The 21,123-nt window shown below is 33.5% G+C and overlaps 1 annotated feature.

The window, feature by feature from the left end:
* Window positions 8,890–9,394: an enhancer, noted in NCBI's record as "H3K27ac-H3K4me1 hESC enhancer chr1:194827800-194828304 (GRCh37/hg19 assembly coordinates)". NCBI's record gives its function as "activates a minimal SCP1, AML or CMV promoter by ChIP-STARR-seq in naive H9 embryonic stem cells {active_cell/tissue: H9 hESC(naive)}" and the evidence as "EXISTENCE:reporter gene assay evidence [ECO:0000049][PMID:30033119]".

The following is a 21,123-nucleotide window of genomic DNA, read 5'->3' as shown; positions in this document are numbered from 1 at the left end:
CCTCTCCCAGCCCTGATAACCACCATTCTACAAATTACATTCTATGCGATGTTTATATCACACATTCTTTTTTAATTTGTCCATTGACGGGCATTTAAATTGTTTCAATATCTTAGCTATTGTAAATAATGCTAGAGTAAAAATGAGAGTGCAAATATCTCCTCTAAATTCTGATTTCAATTATTTGGGGTATATATCCAGAAGTGGGATTTCTAGTTCATATTGTAGATACATATTTATTTTTTTTGTGGAAACTCTGCATTACGTTTTATTGCACCATTTTCTATTCCTACTATCAATGTAGAAAGGTTCCAATTTCTTCATAACCTATACACTAGTTATCTTTTGGGTACCTCTTTTTTTTTTTTAATAGCCATCCTAACAGGTGTGAGGTGGTATCACATCATGCGTATAATTTGCATTTCCCTGGTGATTAGTGATGTGGAGCACCTTTTCATATGCCTGTTAGCTTGTTGTGTGTCATCTTTGGTGAAATGTTTATTCAAGTTCTTTTCCCATTTTTTAGGCTGGATATCTATTTATTTATTTTTTACATTTTTGCAATTGAATTTTAGAAGTTGCTCACATATCAACTGATCTTTGAAAGAGGTGCCAAGTATATACAATGAAGAAAGGATAATCTATTCAACAAATGGTTTGGGGAAACTCAATATTTACACAAAAAAGAATGAAATTGGACTTTTATCCTACCCTATACACAAAAATTAACCCAAAATAAATTAAAGGCTTAAATGCAAGACTTAAAATCCAACAACCTTGAAAACAAACAGAAGAAAATATTCTTGATATAGGTCTTGACAATTATTTCTTGGATATCTCACCAAAGCACAAGCAACAAAAGCAAAAATAGAACTATGGGACCAACCATGCTCTGAACAGCAAAGGAAACAACAGAGTGACAAGAAAACCTATGGAATAGGAGATATTTCCAAATCATATTTCTATTAAGGGCTTTATATCTAAAATATATCAGGCAAATTAATTTTGAAATAGTATGAAATACATTCATACATATATAAAAACCATTCTTAATATTTTTTCCTTTACTTCTCCTATGACAAAAACAAAAAACGAAACAAAAAAAAAACTCAAGTGAGTTACTCTAATTCAAACTTCAAAATCATTACCTCAGTATACTTTCCTGTCTCTACTGATGCCTTGTCCAGGTCCCAAAATCTCTAGCCAGGACTCCCACAAAATCTCTAATATTTTTCTGTTTGTACCCTGTCTCTCCCACTGTAAATAGTGACACCGCCACTAATATTTTAAAAAGTTAGCAGTAAATTAGGTACATCATTTATTTGGTATAGCCCATCACTTTTCATTTCACTTGAAAAACAATAGAAAACATCTGTACCCCTTCTTGACATCACCCACCTAAATCTCCAACCTCATTCCAAACCATTTTTCTCCTTCTGCACCATGTTTTCCCCACAGCGAACTGCTAGAACCTGATCTTTCTTCCTGAAATTAATTGTTCTCTTGCACATCACAACTTCATCCAGCCCCTGCCCTAAGAAAATCCACTAAACTCTAGCATGGCTTCTAGCTGCCTAAGGCTGTGTCCCTAGGATGACTCCTACTCCTCTTTAAAATGTCTGCTTGAGAACGTTCAGCTCTGTCAGGAAAATTTACTGTTTATTGTAGCCATCACCTGATAATGGGCCCTGTATTTGTCCATTCTCACACTGCTATAAAGGGCTGAGACTGGACAATTTATGAAGAAAAGAGGTTTATTTGACTCACAGTTCTGCAGGCTGTACAGGAGCATGGCTGGGAGGTTTCAGGAAACTTACAATCATGGCAAAAGGTGAAGGGGAAGATCTTATGTGCAGAGCAGGAGACAGTGAGAGAGAGAGAGAGACAGTGAGAGAGAGAGAGAGAAGGGGGAAGAGCCACACACTTTTAAATAACCAGATCTCATGAGAACTCTCTATCATGAGAACAGCAAGGGGAAAATCCACCCCCATGATCCAATCACACCCCACCAGACCCCTCCTCCAATGATGAAGATAATAATCCAACATGAGATTTGGGTGGGGGCGCAGAGCCATACCATATCAGGTCCTGTCTTCCCTTTCTTAAATCATTTACTATAAAGGGCTTACAATATAAATATGTATCTCTTACAACTTAGACATTTTCTCAAGGCTCTGAGAGAAATTTCTTTGGCATATAATCATCAGGAAGGTTAGGGCCTCTGCCTCTCAGTCTTTGTGGGAGAACAGAAAAATAGCTTCATTAACTGCCAAGTAGCAGATACACCTGGCCTAATTGCATTTACATTGACTAACCCTTCGAAAGTTCTCACTTGCTGACTCTATTGAGCTCTGTGCTCTCTCCACTCCCTCTTTCTCCATTTAAAATGCCCAAATCACCTCTGCATAAATCAGAGGGAAGAACAGCACTTTCCTCCACTCTCAGTAGTTATTGACCTAAACGTTTCTACTGTTATAACTAATGCCCAGCTGTGTTTATTTTTGCGAATGTATGCACCGCTAGGCAAGTCATGAGGAACTAGTCATTCAATACTGTTTTTTTCTCCACTAGTATCCAAGTGTCTCAACATACAAATTATAAAGTCACATGTGCTAAACAGATAGTGACTGTAAAGTCATGATCACTAAATAGGTATAAATTTGGAAAACAAAATAAATACATTTTAATTATTATTTTTCTTTTTGCTTATTGTATATTCTTAAGTTAAAAAAAAAAACCCACAAACCTATAGCTTTGTTCTGAATATTGATTGTCAAATTTTAAGTTTTTTTCCACTTCAGATGATAAAGATACCACTAAAAGCATCATTGATTATAGTTTTCCAAATGTAGTTTGATTAATACAGTTTAAATGTACATTGGGACTACCCCTTTCGGCCTTTTGCTTGTGTGAATAAAACTTAAAATGATATTAGATTTGATTGGGGTGCTAACTCTCACTAATTGCACACATTGAAACTGAGATCCACTGGAATCTTTTCTTGTATTTGTTCACCTGATCATTGCTTAATTCAACACTTTATGATTTCTACCTATTTAATGTATATTCTGTAGAAACAAAAGGCATATACATATAAACATTAATTTTATACAGTCATTTTACCTGTTAAAAAGTTTTACCTATTGTATTATTACATCTTAATGTTGCTTATCTGTAAGTTAGGTAAAAGGTGATTTTCAATTTAAATATTTCAAAGCTGGGTGGGGTGCCTCACACCTGTAATCCCAGCACTTTGCGGGGCTGAGGCAGGAATATTGCTTAAGCCCAGGATTTCATGACAAGCCCGGGCAACACGGTGAGACCTCATCTCTACACAAAATTAAAATATTATCCAGGTATGGTGGCATGCGTCTGTGGTCCTAGCTACTCAGGAGGCTGAGGCAGGAGAATCCTTTGAGCCCAGGAATTTGAGGTGGCAGTGACCCATGATCACACATTACACCGTAGCCCGGGCGACACAGGGAGACCTTGTCTCCAAAATACATAATCATAATATTTTATATATATATATATATATATATATATTTATTTATTTATTTCATGATGTAATGAATACAACTGGATAATATCTAAAATACTAGGCAGATTAATGGGTGCAAATACACAATCTGAGAGAAAAAATGAAACCTGTTTGATAGATCAGTAATATGACTATAATTTATAATAATCTATTATATGTTTCAAAATAACTAGAAAAGAATAATTCAAATGTTTCTAGCATAAAGAAAAGACAAATATTTAAGGTGATGGATATCCCAACTACACTGATTTGATCTTTACAAATACTGTAAATATATTAAATTATCACATATACACCAAAACATGTACATATAATATGTTCAATTATATATATTTAATGTATAAAAGATATATGTGGCATATGAAGAGAAGTGCTTCTAAGTTACCTTTATATAAATCTGCTATGAAAACACAATGTGTGGAAATATTTTTGTTCTGTTTCACATAAAAATATCAAGTTTTATTAATCATAAGCATCCATAATTACTAAACAAAATTTCATATTAACTTGAAATAAAATTTAGCTGAATTAAAACATTCCATCTGAAAGCAAAGAGAATCTGAAATGCTATAAAATATTTCATGAACATTATTACATGTAAAACCAATTTTAGTGACAATAAAGTAAGGTAAACCATTATATCTTTTACTATTTTTATATTATAATACAAATATAGTTAGAAATAGGGTTAAAATGATAAATTAAAGGCTTAAAACAAACTACTTCTGATGAACTGTAAACAATGCAAGAAATTATAAGAAAACTAAAATCAAATTAAACTACATTTCTTGATTATGTAATGCCGAATAATGATTTAAATGATTTTAACTTGTAAGTTACACAGCATATACACACAAGTATTATCCACAATGCTAAAATAATGTTCAGGCAGATAGTTTTATATTTTTGCAAATGTATGAAATAATATATGTTAACAATTTCTGATGCATTATTAATTCTACTTTGACTGTATGAGAAATTGTTCTCTAAAAGCCTAAAGCTATATTAAAAAGAACAACAAATTGATAACAAAATCATTTATGTATTTTTCAATCTAATTTATTTGAAAACCTTTAATCCAGGAGTGCTGCTAAATATAAAGCATGTTTCTAATGCAGCACTGTAGTTTTATTTTCTCTAAGACTGGATTTTCATGTCAATGTCATGATAATAAAAACAGAAATTAATGTGAACTACAGAGTATTACATTTTCTATTGAATAAATGAAATTAAGATTTCTAATATATGCTTGCAGATAAGTTTAGAAAGGAAAATGAGACACAAGTAGATAAAATGAGTAACCTAATTGTTAAAATTGAGGTTTTTTTTTCTTTTTTTTTTTTTTTTTCGAGATGGAGTCTTGCTCTGTCACCCAGGCTGGAATTCAGTGGTGCACTCTCAGCTCTCTGCAACCTCTGCCTCCTGGGTTCAAGGGATTCTTCTGCCTCAGCCTCCTGAGTAGCTGGGACTACAGGTGCACGCCACCACACCTGGCTAAATTTTTGTATTTTTAGTAGAAATGTGGTTTCAACATGTTAGCCAGGAAGGTCTCGATCTCCTCACCCTGTGATCCTCCTGTCTCTGCCGAGTTATTCCTTACTTTTAAAAAATGTGTATGTAATTTAGGAATATGAAGCTTTTTCAAAAATGTAATAAACATTTAGAAAAACTGATCACACATCAGGCCACAGGTAAAATCTTAACAAATTGTATTCATATTCACTTAATATTTTGCAAACAGAATACTTGAAATAATTTTAGTAAAAATAAAATATGAATACTTTTTAAAACATATTTTAAATGCAACTATATTTCTGTGGACATATAGTAGTCAAATTATTTTCAGATTTCTCAACATCTTTAATTTTTAATTGAGAAAGAAAACTTTATTAAAAATAGAGCTATGAGTCCTCAAAAAAGTTATGATAATGAGATACAAATGGAATGTAATATTATAGAAACATAAATAATTACAAATAAGTAAGAATTAATGAATTGGTAAATAGTCCAAAATTAAAAAAAAAAAACTCTTTGGGTATAGTTAATTCACAATAGCAAAGACATGGAATCAATCTAAATGCCCATCAATGATAGTTTGGATTTAAAAAAATGTGGTAAATATATGCCATGGAATACTATGCAGCCATGAAAAATAATGATCTCATCTTTGAAGGGTCACAAATGGAGCTGGAGGCCATTAGCAAACTAACACAGGAACAGAAAACCATATACACTGTGTTCTCACTTATAAGTGGGAGCTAAAATATGGGAACACATGGACACATACAGGGGAACAACACACACCAGAGCCTACTGGAGGGAAGAGAGTAGGAGAGAGAGGATCAGGAAAAATAACTAATGGGTACTAGGCATAATACCTGGATGACAAAATAATCTGTACAACAACCCCCCGTGACACAAGAATAGGTATGTAACAAAGGTCATGTACTCCTGAACTTAAAAGTTGAAAAAAAATAAAATAAAAAGAGAAAATAGAAGACCCCAACATTATACATTTTAGAAACAATAATGTTAATGTAACAGATACAACCCAGGAAACAGAAAAGGATTGAATTTGAAGGATTAAACAAAATAGCAATTTATTTGTAAAACATAAATAATCTAAAAATCACCTCCAAAAGAGGTAATACGATTACAATAATAAAAAAATTGTATTTCAGATAATTCACTCAAAGGTAGACAGTTTTACATAAAGACAACAATATCACCTATGCTATATAAATTCTTTCAGATTAAAACATTTTCCTTTAGTAAATAGTTTTTATTAGATTTCTGACAAAAATCATAAAATAGAATTTCATTATCCATTATAAATGTACATGAATTATTTTTCTGAATTCTAGCAAACTAAAACAAATGGTGTATTTAAAATACTAAAACTCATGCATATTTGTGATTTTTTAAAAAAATTGTTTTTTTAAACATTAATTACATTAAAAAATAAAAAGTTTATTTCCTTAAATGTTGACTTAAGCAATAAAAAACAAGATCCATTTTTAATGTGAAGAACTATAAAGTAAAAAGAGTATTCAACTATCTCGAATACTCAATTAAAATGTAGATATATAATTGATTTCTAGTATTCTCTCTCCCAGAAAAAAAATAGAAAACTTACTAAGTGTTCAGGGCGGGGGGCGGGGGATACATAAAGTATCAAGATATACAATTAACAATTATTATACAAAATGTATATTAAATTTTCAAAAGATTAATGAGGGACATATATTAATACTTGAATATACGGTCAGATGTAAAATGTTTTGTTTTTAGGAAATATGTTACAAAAGTGTTAATTTTTCCAAAAATAATCTATGAGTTTTTAAAAATTACAATTTGTGATGTAAAAGAAAGTTTTAATTTTGTTAGAAATACCGAATTTTTTAGGAGAATAAATATCAGTTAATAAGCAGGCAAGTTGTTTATAATACTTATTAATTATGAGTCTGACATGTCAACTGTTTAATATTACAGTAATGAAAATATTGTGGCACTGTTGTAGGTTGAAATATAAATTTAAAATCCAGTTATAGACCAAAAGATACAATCACATTATGTATATTCTGAAAGTTACAGTTTTGAAGTAAGCAAAAATAATGCAAAATTCACACACACACACAAAATAGCAAACCTCATAGCCATTTGAGGAAGAAGAGGACTTAGAAGTTTATCATTTAAACAATGCGGGGGTGCGGGAACAGGTCAACAAATATAGTAATCACATATGAGAAGGCTTATGTGTCAGTACATTTAATCTATGAATATTTCTTCCATATCTTCAAGGAAGACAGAAACAGTCTAAGAAAAGCAGGCAGAGGGAATGAAAATCTATACAACAGATAAATACATACTTACATATAAAATATATCAAAAAAGCAAAGAACTAAAAAATTAGATAAACTTAAAAAAAGTTTGGTTTTTGTGTTTGTATTTAGAGGATAATGTATACTCTGGAATCATTTTGAATGTACTAGTAAGAATTTTGTTTGTTTGTTTTTTGTTATTTTTTTGTTTTGTTTTGAGACAGTCTCGCTATGTCGCCCAGCCTGGAGTGCAGTGACGAGACTTCAGCTCACTCTAACCTCCACCTCCCAGGATCAAATGATTCTCCTGTCTCAGCCCCAAAAGTAGCTGGGACTACAGGCGACCAGTTAATTTTTATATTTTTAGTAGAGACGGGTTTTCGCCATGTTGGCCGGGCTGTTCTTGAACTCCTGGCCTCAAGTGATCCACTCACCCCAGCCTCCCAAAGTGCTGGTGTGTCCGGAATTGGTGGGTTCTTGGTCTCACTGACTTCAAGAATGAAGCCGCGGACCCTCGCGGTGAGTGTTACAGCTCTTAAGGTGGCGCGTCTGGAGTTTGTTCCTTCTGATGTTCGGATGTGTTCAGAGTTTCTTCCTTCTGGTGGGTTCCTGGTCTCCCTGGCTCAGGAGTCAAGCTGCAGACCTTCGCGGTGAGTGTTACAGCTCTTAAGGGAGCACGTCTGGAGTTGTTCGTTCCTCCCGGTGGGCTCGTGGTATGGCTGGCTTCAGGAGCGAAGCTGCAGATTTTTGCAGTGAGTGTTACAGCTCATAAAAGCAGTGTGGACCCAAAGAGTGAGCAGTAGCAAGATTTATTGCAAAGAGCGAAAGAACAAAGCTTCCACAGTGTGGAAGGGGACCCGAGTGGGTTGCCACTGCTGGCTCCGGCAGCCTGCGTTTATTCTCTTATCTGGCCCCACCCACATCCTGCTGATTGATAGAGCCCAGTGGCCTGTTTTGACAGGGCGCTGATTGGTGCGTTTACAATCCCTGAGCTAGATACAAAGGTTCTCCACCTCCCCATCAGATTAGTTAGATACAGGGTATCCACACAAAGGTTCTCCGATGCCCCACCAGAGCAGCTAGATACAGAGTGTCCACTGGTGCGCTCACAAACCCTGAGCTAGACACAGGGTGCTGATTGGTCTGTTTACAAACCTTGAGCTAGATACAGAGTGCCGATTGGTGTATTTACAATCCCTGAGTTAGACATAAAGGTTCTCCAAGGCCCCACCAGACTCAGGAGCCCAGCTGGCTTCACCCAGTGGATCCCGCACCGGTGCTGCAGGTGGAGTTGCCTGCCAGTCCCGCGCCATGTGCTCACACTCCTCAACCCTTGGGTGATCCATGGGACTGGGCGCTGTGGAGCTGGGGGCGGCGCTTGTCGGGGAGGCTCCTGAAGGCAGTTAAGGCCTGGCGAGAAATCAAGCGCAGCGCTGGTGGGCTGGCACTGCTGGGGGACCCAGTACACCCTCCGCAGCCGTTGGCCCGGGTGCTAAGCCCCTCATTGCCCAGGGCCGGCGGGCCGGCAAGGCGGCCAGCTGTTCCAAGTGCGTGGCCCGCCAAGCCCACGCCCACCCGGAACTCCAACTGGCCCGCAAGCGCCGCGCGCAGCCCCGTTTCCCGCTCGCGCCTCTCCCTCCACACCTCCCTGCAAGCTGAGGGAGTGGGCTCCGGCCTTGGCCAGCCCAGAAAGGGGCTCCCACAGTGCAGCGGTGGGCTGAAGGGCTCCTCAAGTGCCGCCAAAGTGGGAGCCCAGGCAGAGGAGGCGCCGAGAGTGAGTGAGGGCTGTGAGGACTGCCAGCATGCTGTCACCTCTCACTGGGATTGCAGACGTGAGCCACCGGCACCCGACATAGTAAGAATTCTTTCTGGTTATCTCCATTTTCTTCAATTCAGATGTCTCCTTCTTCATCTTGGTTTTATTTATGATTCATGATTTCGTTTTCCCTTAAATGCTCCCAAGACGAGAGCTTATGTTCATAAATAAAGGATTATTTTTGTTTTGCCTGGCATACGGTTTCTTCACAACTTTGTAGACCTATGTAAATTTTCCCAGAATAGTAACACTACTGAAGAAATTGTGAAAATAAGCAAGTCCTATTAAGTAAATGCTTATTAATGATGCTTAGTATAGAATAAAAATAACACAGGACTGCAGGATAGCCAAAGTGAGTGGCAGTAGGCTTGTGGCACTTTAGTGTTTGAAACTTTTTTATGGGTGGAAATATTTTCCTTTAAATTGTGGGAACATAACATTTTGAAGTTACCAGAATCTGTTTCGTTTCTATCCCGAGAAAGGTAGTTGATATAAATATATAGGTTGATTTAGCGCTAATGTATCCTTTAAGTAATTACTTGGAAATTATTTGCAAATAATTTTCATTTTTTTAAAACAGTTCATTTGAAAAATAACATTTATAGTTGTTATCATATGCTAGATAGTAAGTTCTATGTGTAGAAGAACCACCCTGGATTTGAGAAAGACAGAAATCAGACTCATTTTGGAAACACTCTTCTACTACCTTTGCTGGTGATTAATTGAAACATAGGTAACTAAAATCAAAGCAATGAAGAGCACATATAAAAGTACAGCAAAGTAATATAGAGACTTCTAATATAAGAACTATTTAGAAAAATGTTTAGAGCTGAAGTTGATTTATATATTTATTTAGAACATACTATAGTCCAGAGTTAGAGCATTATTAATTTATAAATAAAATCCTTTCAATATATAAATAACATGGATTGTTAGGAAGTGTGTATCTCAAATTCTTTCAATAGATTAGTGGTTTAAATAGAACTTTTTAATCCTTTATATTCATCATTTATCTTAGCAGTAAAAGTATCTTTTTGATTAAAAAACAAACTTCTCTTTGAATGTTAGTGTATCTGGGAAGGGCTTAATGCAAGTAAATAAATTTGTATGTAACAATGTTATTTATAAGATGTTCTGCACATTCAAAAACTTCAAACTATTGGCCAGGCATGGTGCCTCACACCTGTAATTTCCAGCACTTTAGGAGGCTGAGGTGGGAGAATCACTTGAATCAAGGAGGCAGAGGCAGCAGTGAGCGGTGATCTCTCCACTGCACTCCAGCCTGGGCAACAGAACGAGACCCAGTCTTAAAAAAAAAAAAAAACCCTTCAAACTATTGACAAATTTTTACCAAGCATGGGTCCTAAGTTGATGAATACATAAAGATAATTTAAAACTGACATGAATAATGCATATATGTATCATTGAAAGCCAATTCAACTGCTTAAAATAATTGTTCTTATAAACTAAACATTCACATACTCCTGAAGTGTATTATTATGTCATAAACTTTTCTTCTCGCACTAAATGGTAAAGCCATGTTAACCTTGACAGTTGTCTGAATTATTAGATATTCCCAATTGGTGGGTTGCAATCAGTTAGACTTTAAAGATCTGTATTGAAGTTCAAGATAATGATACTAAGGTCAGAGTGAGAGTGAGAAAATAAACATATGACTTATTTTATATAATGGAGCCAATAATTGAACATAATATTTGAACTACATATAAGGAGTCCTCCCTGTAAAAAAATAAAATAAATTGGTAACTATTGTTTATTCCTTTTTTCTCCTCTCTCTGTTTGATGTCAACACTTGGGAAAGAAGAAAAGAATATTAAAGTTATATTTCACTATAATAATGCAAAATTTTATTAAAATATACATATATCTATATGAATTTTGTCCAAATACATCATACTACTGCCAAGCTACTACTCAAGAACTAATAATTTTGGGAGGTCGAGGCAGGCAGATTGCTTCAGCCTAGAAGTTCAAGACTAGCTTGGGCAGCATGGCAAAACCCCACCTCTGCAAAAAATACAAAAATTAGTGGGGCCTGGTGGCAAGCGCCTGTAGTCCCAGCCACTCTGTGAGGGCTGAGGTGGGATGATCACTTGAGCCTGGGAGGTTGAGACTGCAGTGAGCCATGATCACACCACCACACTCCAGCCCAGGCAACAGAGTGAGACCTTGTTTCTTTAAAAACAAACAAACAAACAAAACAAAACTGATAATCAATATTGCATTTTATATCCCAACTTTTAGAAATTTTTGCATGTTGAAACTCTGCAAGATATATTCATGTGCACATACCAATGGAAAGTGGAATTAGCAACTACATTCCTATTTTATGCTGGAAGAAATTGACTGTCCTCTGCAATCTTGTTATTCTTCAATTCAAATTATTTAACTTTTAGAAAGTGTCGTAAACATGTATAGGCTGTTAAGTGTTCTTACTAATGCATAAGAAGGCAGTAAAGATTTCATTTGCATAGATATTGCAATTATTATTTTGCCAGATACAGAAAAAGTAAGGTATAATATTACTTCATAGATCAAATATTTTTATTATGTACTAATTAAACTGTTTTTCTATTAATGCTCTCAAAAGACAAGATCAGTCCTGGTCAGTGAGCCAAAAAATTAACAAATTGGGTAAAATTCAATTAATTCAAACACTTTTCTTAATCAAAAATGATTCTAATTTTTTAATTTACTCTTTGAAACAACATGCATTTTAGTTTACCTAGGACACATTGCCTCTGACTAGAAATGTGCTTATCAATTTGCTTATTCTGTACCCAGAATCAATCACAACAGAGCACGTCTCAAGGAGCTTCAGAAAATCATATCTAATATTAACTTGTATATGTCATAAAAATTAGTATTAGAATAAAGCATGACATCATATCTTATTCCTGAAACCCTAAAATATTAATTGACTAACAAAATTCATATATTCAAGGACTGATTTAAATTCATGAATTATAATTTACTAGTTGCTTTGATTAATGCAAAGAAAGAAAGTGGACTGTTTTTTTTTTTTTCTAGTTTTCTATTTAAGTAGATCTTGGTGTCCTATGGACAGAAAATAAAACTCTTAAAAAAGTAAACAGTTATGCTCATTGATAAAAAGCTATATATTTAAAAATACAAATCATTTTGGTGTTTTGAGAAAATAGAAACATCTGGAATTCAACCTAATATTTCCAGTTACTGAGCACAAACCTAGAAACTTTATAATTGTTACCTCACTTAAATATAAAAACAAGACAAAACAAAACAACCCTACAATATAAATAATATTTTACTAAAGAAAGTCAAGTACTTTTGGTTCTAAATTCAAAATGTGATGGGAATCTTCAGTTAGATTACCGTAATATTCTCCTATTATTTGCTTTTCTGTATCTTCTTTTTCCTTTCTCTTTTTTTTTTTTTCTTTTTTTTTTGAGACAGTGTCTCGCTCTGTCACCCAGGTTGGAGTGCAGTGGCCCGATCTCGTCTCACTGCAAGCTCCGCCTCCCAGGTTCACGTCATTCTCCTGCCTCAGGGGAATGTAGGTGCCCGCCACCACGCCCAGCTAATTTTTTGTATTTTTAGTAAAGACAAGGTTTCACCATGTTAGCCAGGATGGTCTCGATCTCCTGTCCTTGTGATCTGCCCACCTCGGCCTCCCAAAGTGCTGGGATTACAGGTGTGAGCCACCGCGCCGGGCCCTTTTTCCTTTTTCTTTACCCACATGTCAGCCAGAGTCATCTTAAAGGTTAGAGTATGCATTAGAGGAACAATTAAAGCTTTATTGTCCCTGTTATGAATTCAGCTCAATTCAGTTCATCAGAATTTTTGTTCACATCACATAAAAGAGAAATGTTTTCTTTCTTAAAATCTCATCATGCGCCACGGAATCCTTGCTGATTCTATTATCAGTTGTCTATTCTTATTGTATTATACACTAGAATTAAATATTGCAAAAAATGAAGCTGAAAATAGAGGTTAAAATGAAAAACATTATTTCTTAGAAACATGTTTGGCTAACAGAAATAATTAGCTGGTCCAAGCATATTTATGTAAGCTTTTCAAATCAGTTATTTTGGACAGCGTATTAAAAGGAAACCCTCTCTAAGAGTTCCTTTTTCTCTGCATCCTTACCAGCACTTGTTATTTTTTTGCCTTTTTGATAATGCTACTAACTGGCTTGAGATGATAACCTATTGTTGTATTGATTTTCAGTTCCCTGATGATTAGTGATGTTAAACATGTTTTTCATCTGCTTGGTGGCCACTTGTATGTCTTCTTTTGAGAAGTAAATGTTGAGATAATTTGCCCATTTTTATAATCAGATATTTTTGTTGGTGGTGATTGGTCTGCTGTTGAGTTCTTTGAGTCCCTTGTAGTCTGGTTATCAATTCCCTGTCAAATGGATAGTTTGCAATTACTCTCTCCCATGCTGTGAGTTGTCTTTTCACTCTGATGATTGTTTCCTTTGCTGCACATAAGCTCTTTAATTTGATGTAATCCGATTTGTGTATTTTTGCTTTTACTACCTGTGCTTTTGAGGCCTTACCAAAAATATCTTTGCCCAGACCAATTACCTGAGCATTTCTCTAATGTTTTCTTCTAGTGGTTTCATAGTTTCAGGTCTTACATTAAGGTATTGATTCCATTTTGAGTTGATTTTTGTATATGAGGAGAGAGTAATCTAGTTTCATTATTCTGCATATGGATATTCAGTTTTCCTAGCACCATTTATTAAAGAGACTGTCTTTTCCCCAATGTATTACTTGGTACTTTTGCCAAATATCAGCTGGCTGTAAATGCATGGATTCATTTCTGCATTCTCTATTCTGTTCCATTGGCGTGTGTGTCTGGTTGTTTTTTTTAATTTTTTAATATTTATTTATTTATTTATTTTGCCGATATGCTGTTTTGGTTACTATAGCTTTGTTGCATATTTTGAGGTCAGGTATGCAATGCTGTCAGTTTTGTTCTTTTTGCTTAAAACTACTTTGGCTTTTTGGAGTCTTTTTTGGTTTCACACAAATTTTAGTTTTTTTTTTTTTTTTTTTTTGCATTGTTGGTTGGAGTATAAACTAGTATAATCACTATGGAGAACAGTATGAAGTTTCCTTAATAAAACTACAAATAGAACTACCCTTTGAACCAGCAATCTCACTACTGGGCATTTATCAATGCACATTATCTGGGTGACAGCTTCATTAGTATTCCAGAGCTCAGCAGCTTGTAATACACCTTTGCAATGTACCTGCACATGTACCCTCTGATTTGAAAAGAAATATTGAAAAAAAAAAGATATTATTTAAAAACTGTCCCTAAAAAGACACAAAAGACAGGAAAACAGTGTTACTGAAAAGGCATCTATGTTTATTGCAGCACTATTCGCAATAGCTAATATATGATATTGACCTAGTTGTCCAATAACAGATGAATGGATAAATAAAATGTGTTTGTATACACAATATAATACTAATCAGCTATAAAAAAATTAAAATACTATCATTAGCAGCAACATCGACAAAACTGGAGGCCATTATGTTACGTGAAATAAGGCGGGAACAGAAAGTTGAACACAATATGTTTTCATTCACATGTGGAAGCTAAAAAAGTTGATTTCATAAAAGTTAGAAGTAGAACACAGGACAGTAGAGCTAGGAAAGGTTAAGGGAAATGGAGAGATTGGGGAAAATTTGTTAAAGGAAACAAAATTACACCTAGGTAGGATAAAAAATTTAGTGTTCTATACCATTGTAGGATGACTGTAGTTAACGATAGTGAAGTTTCGAATAGCTAGAAGGCTGTCGAATGTTCCCAACACAAATATGATAAATGGAGATAGTGATATGAGATAATGATAAATTGAGATAATGGATATGCTAATTACACTGACCTGATCATTATCCATTATATATATAGAAACGTCACTATGTACCCCATAAATAAGTACAATTATTATGTGTCAATTGAAAATAAACTAAAATGTTACAAAAAGAAAAGGCTCTATAAATAAGATAAAGACTATGATTTCTTTCTTCCTTTCCTTGATGACATTAATTACGTGTAACAATTTAACCCCAAATACTATCATCTCAATGCAGGAGACAGAAAAAAAGCAAAACCAAGAACAATAAAACTAAAATTGTGTCACAAAATTTCTCACCTGATTATATTTTAATTTTTCTTTTGGGAATATGTTCCTGAAAGTTGGATTAATATATGCTAAATTTCATGGCATATTAGCATAATTAGTCTGTCCAAGTTGTCATTTTTGTTTTCAATTTTTAAATTTTGCATTCTAAGTGCATCCCTACTCTCATTCTTTACAGACACAGTTTTTATCTATCTTTTAATACTTATGTTAACTTTTGAAATATGTGGTATTGTTACTATGAATATGCCTTTTTAAGATTTGCATAATGGTATTGTGTTACAGTCTTTGTTCTGTTGTCTATTTTTATGATCTATACATACATAATTGCTTTTAACTATAAAAAGTGTTTTGTTTACACCGCACTTTTAATACTTCTCTAATTATAAACATCTAGTGTTGTCCAATTATTACCTGAGAGATACTGCATTAAAGTAAATATTTTTGTTCTTATCTCTTTACAGATCTGTATACAGTTTTTCTTGAGCATGAGATTTCTTGGACATTGGCTACATGTACATTCAATTTAATGGATACTACATACAGTTTCTCAAAACAAAGCAAAACATTTGTCTTTATTGCATGCTCTACCTTTGTCAATTTGGTGGCATCATCTGCAGTGACACATAATTGTTGTGCAGAAAATACTGGGACTTGCCATGTTAGAGGGTCACCTAGCTATATATGCCTCCCAAGCAAAAAGCACCCAGCACTGAGGGGGACCAGGTTTGCTAGAGAAAGAGGAGCTTAGAAAGAAATTTGTCAAATGCATACTTGTTTTTTGTGTAATTGGTCCAATTTTAACTTCATATCTTACAGAGAATTTGAGAATTGCCTTTCTTTGGGAAAACAAGAAAAAGAGGACCTTTTCTTTGTTTAATTAGAAGAACAGATTTTTCCATAGCATGAAAAAATACAATCCCAGAGTTAAATTAATTATGGAAGGGGAGGGAAGATTCTATGTAACACATTACATATTGATTTTGTGTGTTAAGGTTAATTAATATTTGAAAGCCAAATCTGGTTGCATTTCAAGTAATTGAGAGCTATAAAAGATGTTTTAATAGATGCATGGAATCATGATAACTCTATTTAATTGGATATGCTTGAGAAATGTACTGTTTTTATGCATCTGGAGAATGACATTAATAGATAAATACTCAATACCCTTCATAAAGATTCCAAAAAATATGTATTAAAGAAACAAGCTCTGCTCGCTCTTATTTTTCTGAGCAAATAAATCTGCTGCTAAGAAAAATCATTAATATTTTTTCAGAAATGGAAGTTCAAAGGGGTTTTTTTAGGACTAGGGCTATGACTTGGATTGGGAGTTGGGGAAACTTGGGTGGGGAAAGAGGGTGACTTTGGGGGAACAAAAAATATTTGGGTGAAATGGTCAGGTAGTAGTTTCTTTCAAATGTTTGGAGAACATGAAGCAGTGAGGCTTTTTATGCTAATTGTTTCTGCAGAGTGTTTTGGTCTTTTCTTTCTAAAGCAGCAGAAAATATTATTTGGACTATTGTTACTGTTTAAAATTTTATACACGATTTTAGAAGTATTAGATATTGATGTTATGGTTTAACAAATTTACCACACATATTTGAATGTTTATAAGCCTATACACCTGTGTTTAAAATACACACTATACTTATTTAGCATATATACACTATCTTGTTTGTAAGATGTCAGTACATCAGTATTACACACTTATGAGAAAGATTAAAAGATGCATCGCATTTATGTTGTGGCATATATAGTTCAAGGTATATTCGATAATTTGAATGATAAGGTAAATATTTTGCTTGTTAGGACATTTTCTTCTGTAAGTTACAAAGTGAATCACTAAATTGGTAGAGATCAAATAATATTTACATTATTTGTAAAGATGGTTGTTTTTTGTAATCTCAGTATAATAGTGAGGAGTGAAACCATTTTTTGAAGTTTAAGGTACTGTACTGTAATTTAAGATAGTTCTGTCTTGCCCTTTTTTTTTCCTCACTCCCTCTTCTGGATTCTAGTATAATTTATTTTGTATTTCTGTGATTTATTCATTCTTTTGCTTTGGAACTATAATCATATTTTACTTTATTTGTTTACAAATCTGCTTTCCTTATTAAATTGTGACATTTTACATGAGCATATGGCATGGTAGTTTTTTATATACCTATGTTCCAAAAATGTCCACAATTTTGATCCTATGTATGTGGAAAGCACTGTTCGCTTTTCATTTTTGTAAATTACCTCTTTGATCTTCATAATGTCGCTGATGTTTATGTGGACATAAAAACTGAAACCCATAAAAATTAAGTAACAAGCCTCAAATAATAGGTTGGGAAGTTATAATTCAGGCATAGGAATCTGGTTTCCCTTACAGTGTACCATAGCTTTAGCTATAATCTGGACAGCCATGACTGCACACATAAATCATTTGGCCTATAAATTTTAGGTCTGCAAAATTAAAATCTCTCTAGGCTTCATAAATTAGAAATTTTATAAACAAATTCTACCACTACAGAAACTGGATTTCTGAATTTCTTTTAGAGTTGGCAGATCTGGTTAACTGGAGTGAGCATAGCCCATTTGTGTTGCTTGGCTGTATTTAGAATGAAGGAAGTTCTGTACCTACCACTCCCATCTAAATGTCTGACATGAAGGAATAAAGGGCCAACGCCAGTTGATACACATTTGTAGGCATTTGTTTCTCTCACATCATGCCTGTTTCAGTCATTCAATAAGACATTTGCATTCATGATAAATATTATCCCATAATACCCTAAGTATTTGTTTTAAGAAAAAAATAGCAAGAAAGAAAGGGATATATAATGAAAGAAATGAAGGGAAAGACAGAAAAAAGGAAGCAAAGATGATAAAAGGAAGAAAAGAGGGAGGAGGGACATAACTGCCCTTTTGCTTTCCCTAAAAGAGAAAAAAAAATCTCAAAAATATGTATTTAAGTAAAACAATATTCTATAATAATTGTTTTGATATCCTTTTAGTATAATTTGTTTTACTCCTAGCTAATATTTTTAATAACTTGCAGTGTTTTAATCTTTGCTATTATTTTGTACTTTTTGCTATCATTTTGCTGTTATTTCTGTAAGGTGTAGCTTTTGTCACTTTGAACAGCAGTGGCTATAACTAACACAAAATAACCTGAGTGTAATTGTACCAGATATTAGAAATTTAAAAATAAAACTAGAAAGAATTAAACCTTAATGAAATGAACATATTGTATACTCTTAGGCCTTAGCATATGCATCACTTTATACTCTGCCTATTTTTTAATTTTTTTTGACATAATCATGAGCCCTTCAGTGAAAGTAGATATTACTGTGAAGGGAATAGAAACAATTATCTAATCGTGAGAAGCTATAAAATGGTTAGTGTGAAGACAGAAAGAAAGGTGTAATAAGCAAAAAAAACAACAAAGTTAATTTCGGTCAAAGACTTTGGCCAGCAAGAACATGAGCCGCTGGAAAAACCAGAAGTACTTACTATCTTCAGCAGTATCCTAGACTTTTAATGTGTTCTTATTGTACACAGAATTCTGGGAAAAAACTGAGAGACAACTTGAAATATTTATGTACTATAGTCTCATAATACAAGTAAGTAAAATAATTTGTAATCCCTTTTATGTGATGTAAACAAAACTAAATAAAAATAAAATATTGCAGGCAGTGAAGGCTCATTTGGAAACAAGATCTGTGTTTCCAAGTGTTTGGCAGCACTTAAAAGAAGCAAACCAATTTAAATCAAATAACTTAAGGAGTATTATCAAATGAAAAATAACCATCTCATATTTATGCATGGAACATAATGAACTGAAAAGCACAATAAAGCAAATACATTAGATTAGCATAATTTTATTTCACTGTTTAAATTTTTAAGTTAGAAACTGATTTTGTTTCAATTACTGCAGTCTCCATGCGTTTTGCACATTTTATTTCAAATATATGCTTGTGTTTCAATTTGGTACAGTTTATTATTTTTAACATGGATATTTACTGTTATTAATATATGCCAACTTTAATTTTGCACTTATTGAAAGATTACTAATAATCGTTAGGCCAATGTAAACAACTAATAGATATAATAGATTTAGTCGTCTTACTTTAGTATAAAATTTAGATGTCATTACACATCAGAAATACTTGACTAAAGTTTCCTACTTTCTATAGAATAATTGATCTACATAATTTTAATAAAAATAGGTGTTTATTATTAAGCATTCTTTGACCCAGATTCTACTAGAAGAAAGGTGTAATTCTTGAAATCAATTTTTCCTCTGTTCTCAGAGGTAAGCCCTAAATTATTTCAAATCAAAAAGGAAAATATCTTTTTTTTTCTTTGTAACATTTGGATTTTCAGAGAAATTTAGGCATATCAATCCTGAAAGAAAAATTCTCCCACAATAGTAGGCATACAAATAAGTTATGAATATTATATATTTTGAGTGAGGCTTTTAGTAGCCACAGAAACTTAAACAAAGACCTGAAATCTAGGTACTTTATGTTTTCTTATGGACTCCTAGTGATCACACCAACAACAAAGCTAAACACGTTTATGATGTTAAAGTATAATGTTCAATACATATTTTCATACATCTTCCAAGCATGGTTACTTACAACTAATAAATACTAATTAAATGAAGCAACTGAAAATATACTATTAAAGATAGTGTGCTACGCAATATCTTCCAAATGTCTCAATATTAAATAATGAAAAAGGTAATCAGTTTCATATGTCCTAGTGACTGTTACGTTGACCAGCAACCCCTTAGTGTAACAATAAAAATAATATAAAAACTCTGTATATTAATTATATTTACTTGATTTAATTTCCCATATACATTCGGACTTTATGTGCTACATATGACAAGTTTTAAAGCACTCTGACAGCTAACATCACTTGTCAGGATTTTTTATTTGTGAGCTTCTTAATTAGATGGCTAGAATTGTAGATAAGAGGAGATATGGTGTAAGTTGTTTAGTCATAATTAACTCTAATGAATAAGATTTGCTAGAAAAAATAATTAGTTTCTATATTCATTAGGTACTACAGGCATTTGGTATTGATGACTCTAGGCCAATCAGATGAAATATCTTTATCAGTATAATGAATGAATCCCTTTGTAATTGCAAATAATAGTTAACATTTATTAAATTCTGAATATGTTTTAGCCCCAGTGCTCCTTAGCTTACAGGTGTTATTCATTTAAGACTTACAAAGTCCACAAGTTAGGTTCTATGATTATTTTAACTTTAGAGACAGGGTACCAGAGGCAAAGAGAGCTTTACTTATTTTCCTAAAGTTCAACTAGCAAGTGGTTGAATCCTGATTTGAACTTGGACAGTTTGTTGCTGTAATTTTCACCTCTCACCACAATACAGTCTGCATTATACTGAAATAAAAGGAAGATAAAAGAAGAACAAAACTAATTTGAAGTAAATTAATCAATGAAAATTTGAGGATTACATTACTTTCACAATTTTTAAACATAAATATGTGGCGAACAATTTGCAAAATTTGAATTCTGTAGAAGCAGTAGTTCTGCTTTTTTAAAAAATGAAACTCTCCATCACAAGTTTAGAAAGAAGAAAGCACAATATATTCTGTGAAGTATAAATGTAAGTATTGAAAAATTCACATGAACACAGACCAGAAAGCATGCATAGATAGGTTAACTACATTGAAACACTGACAAAATGATTTTGAAAGTTCATATATTTTATTCCTAGATTTCAATGAAAAATTAATGATGAAAAGAGCTATCAACTTTTAT

Source organism: Homo sapiens, chromosome 1 (assembly GCF_000001405.40).
Source record: "Homo sapiens chromosome 1, GRCh38.p14 Primary Assembly".
NCBI classification, from domain to species: domain Eukaryota; kingdom Metazoa; phylum Chordata; class Mammalia; order Primates; family Hominidae; genus Homo; species Homo sapiens.
The sequence above is the reverse complement of the archived record's forward strand: the minus strand, read 5'-3'. Positions and strand labels throughout refer to the sequence as shown.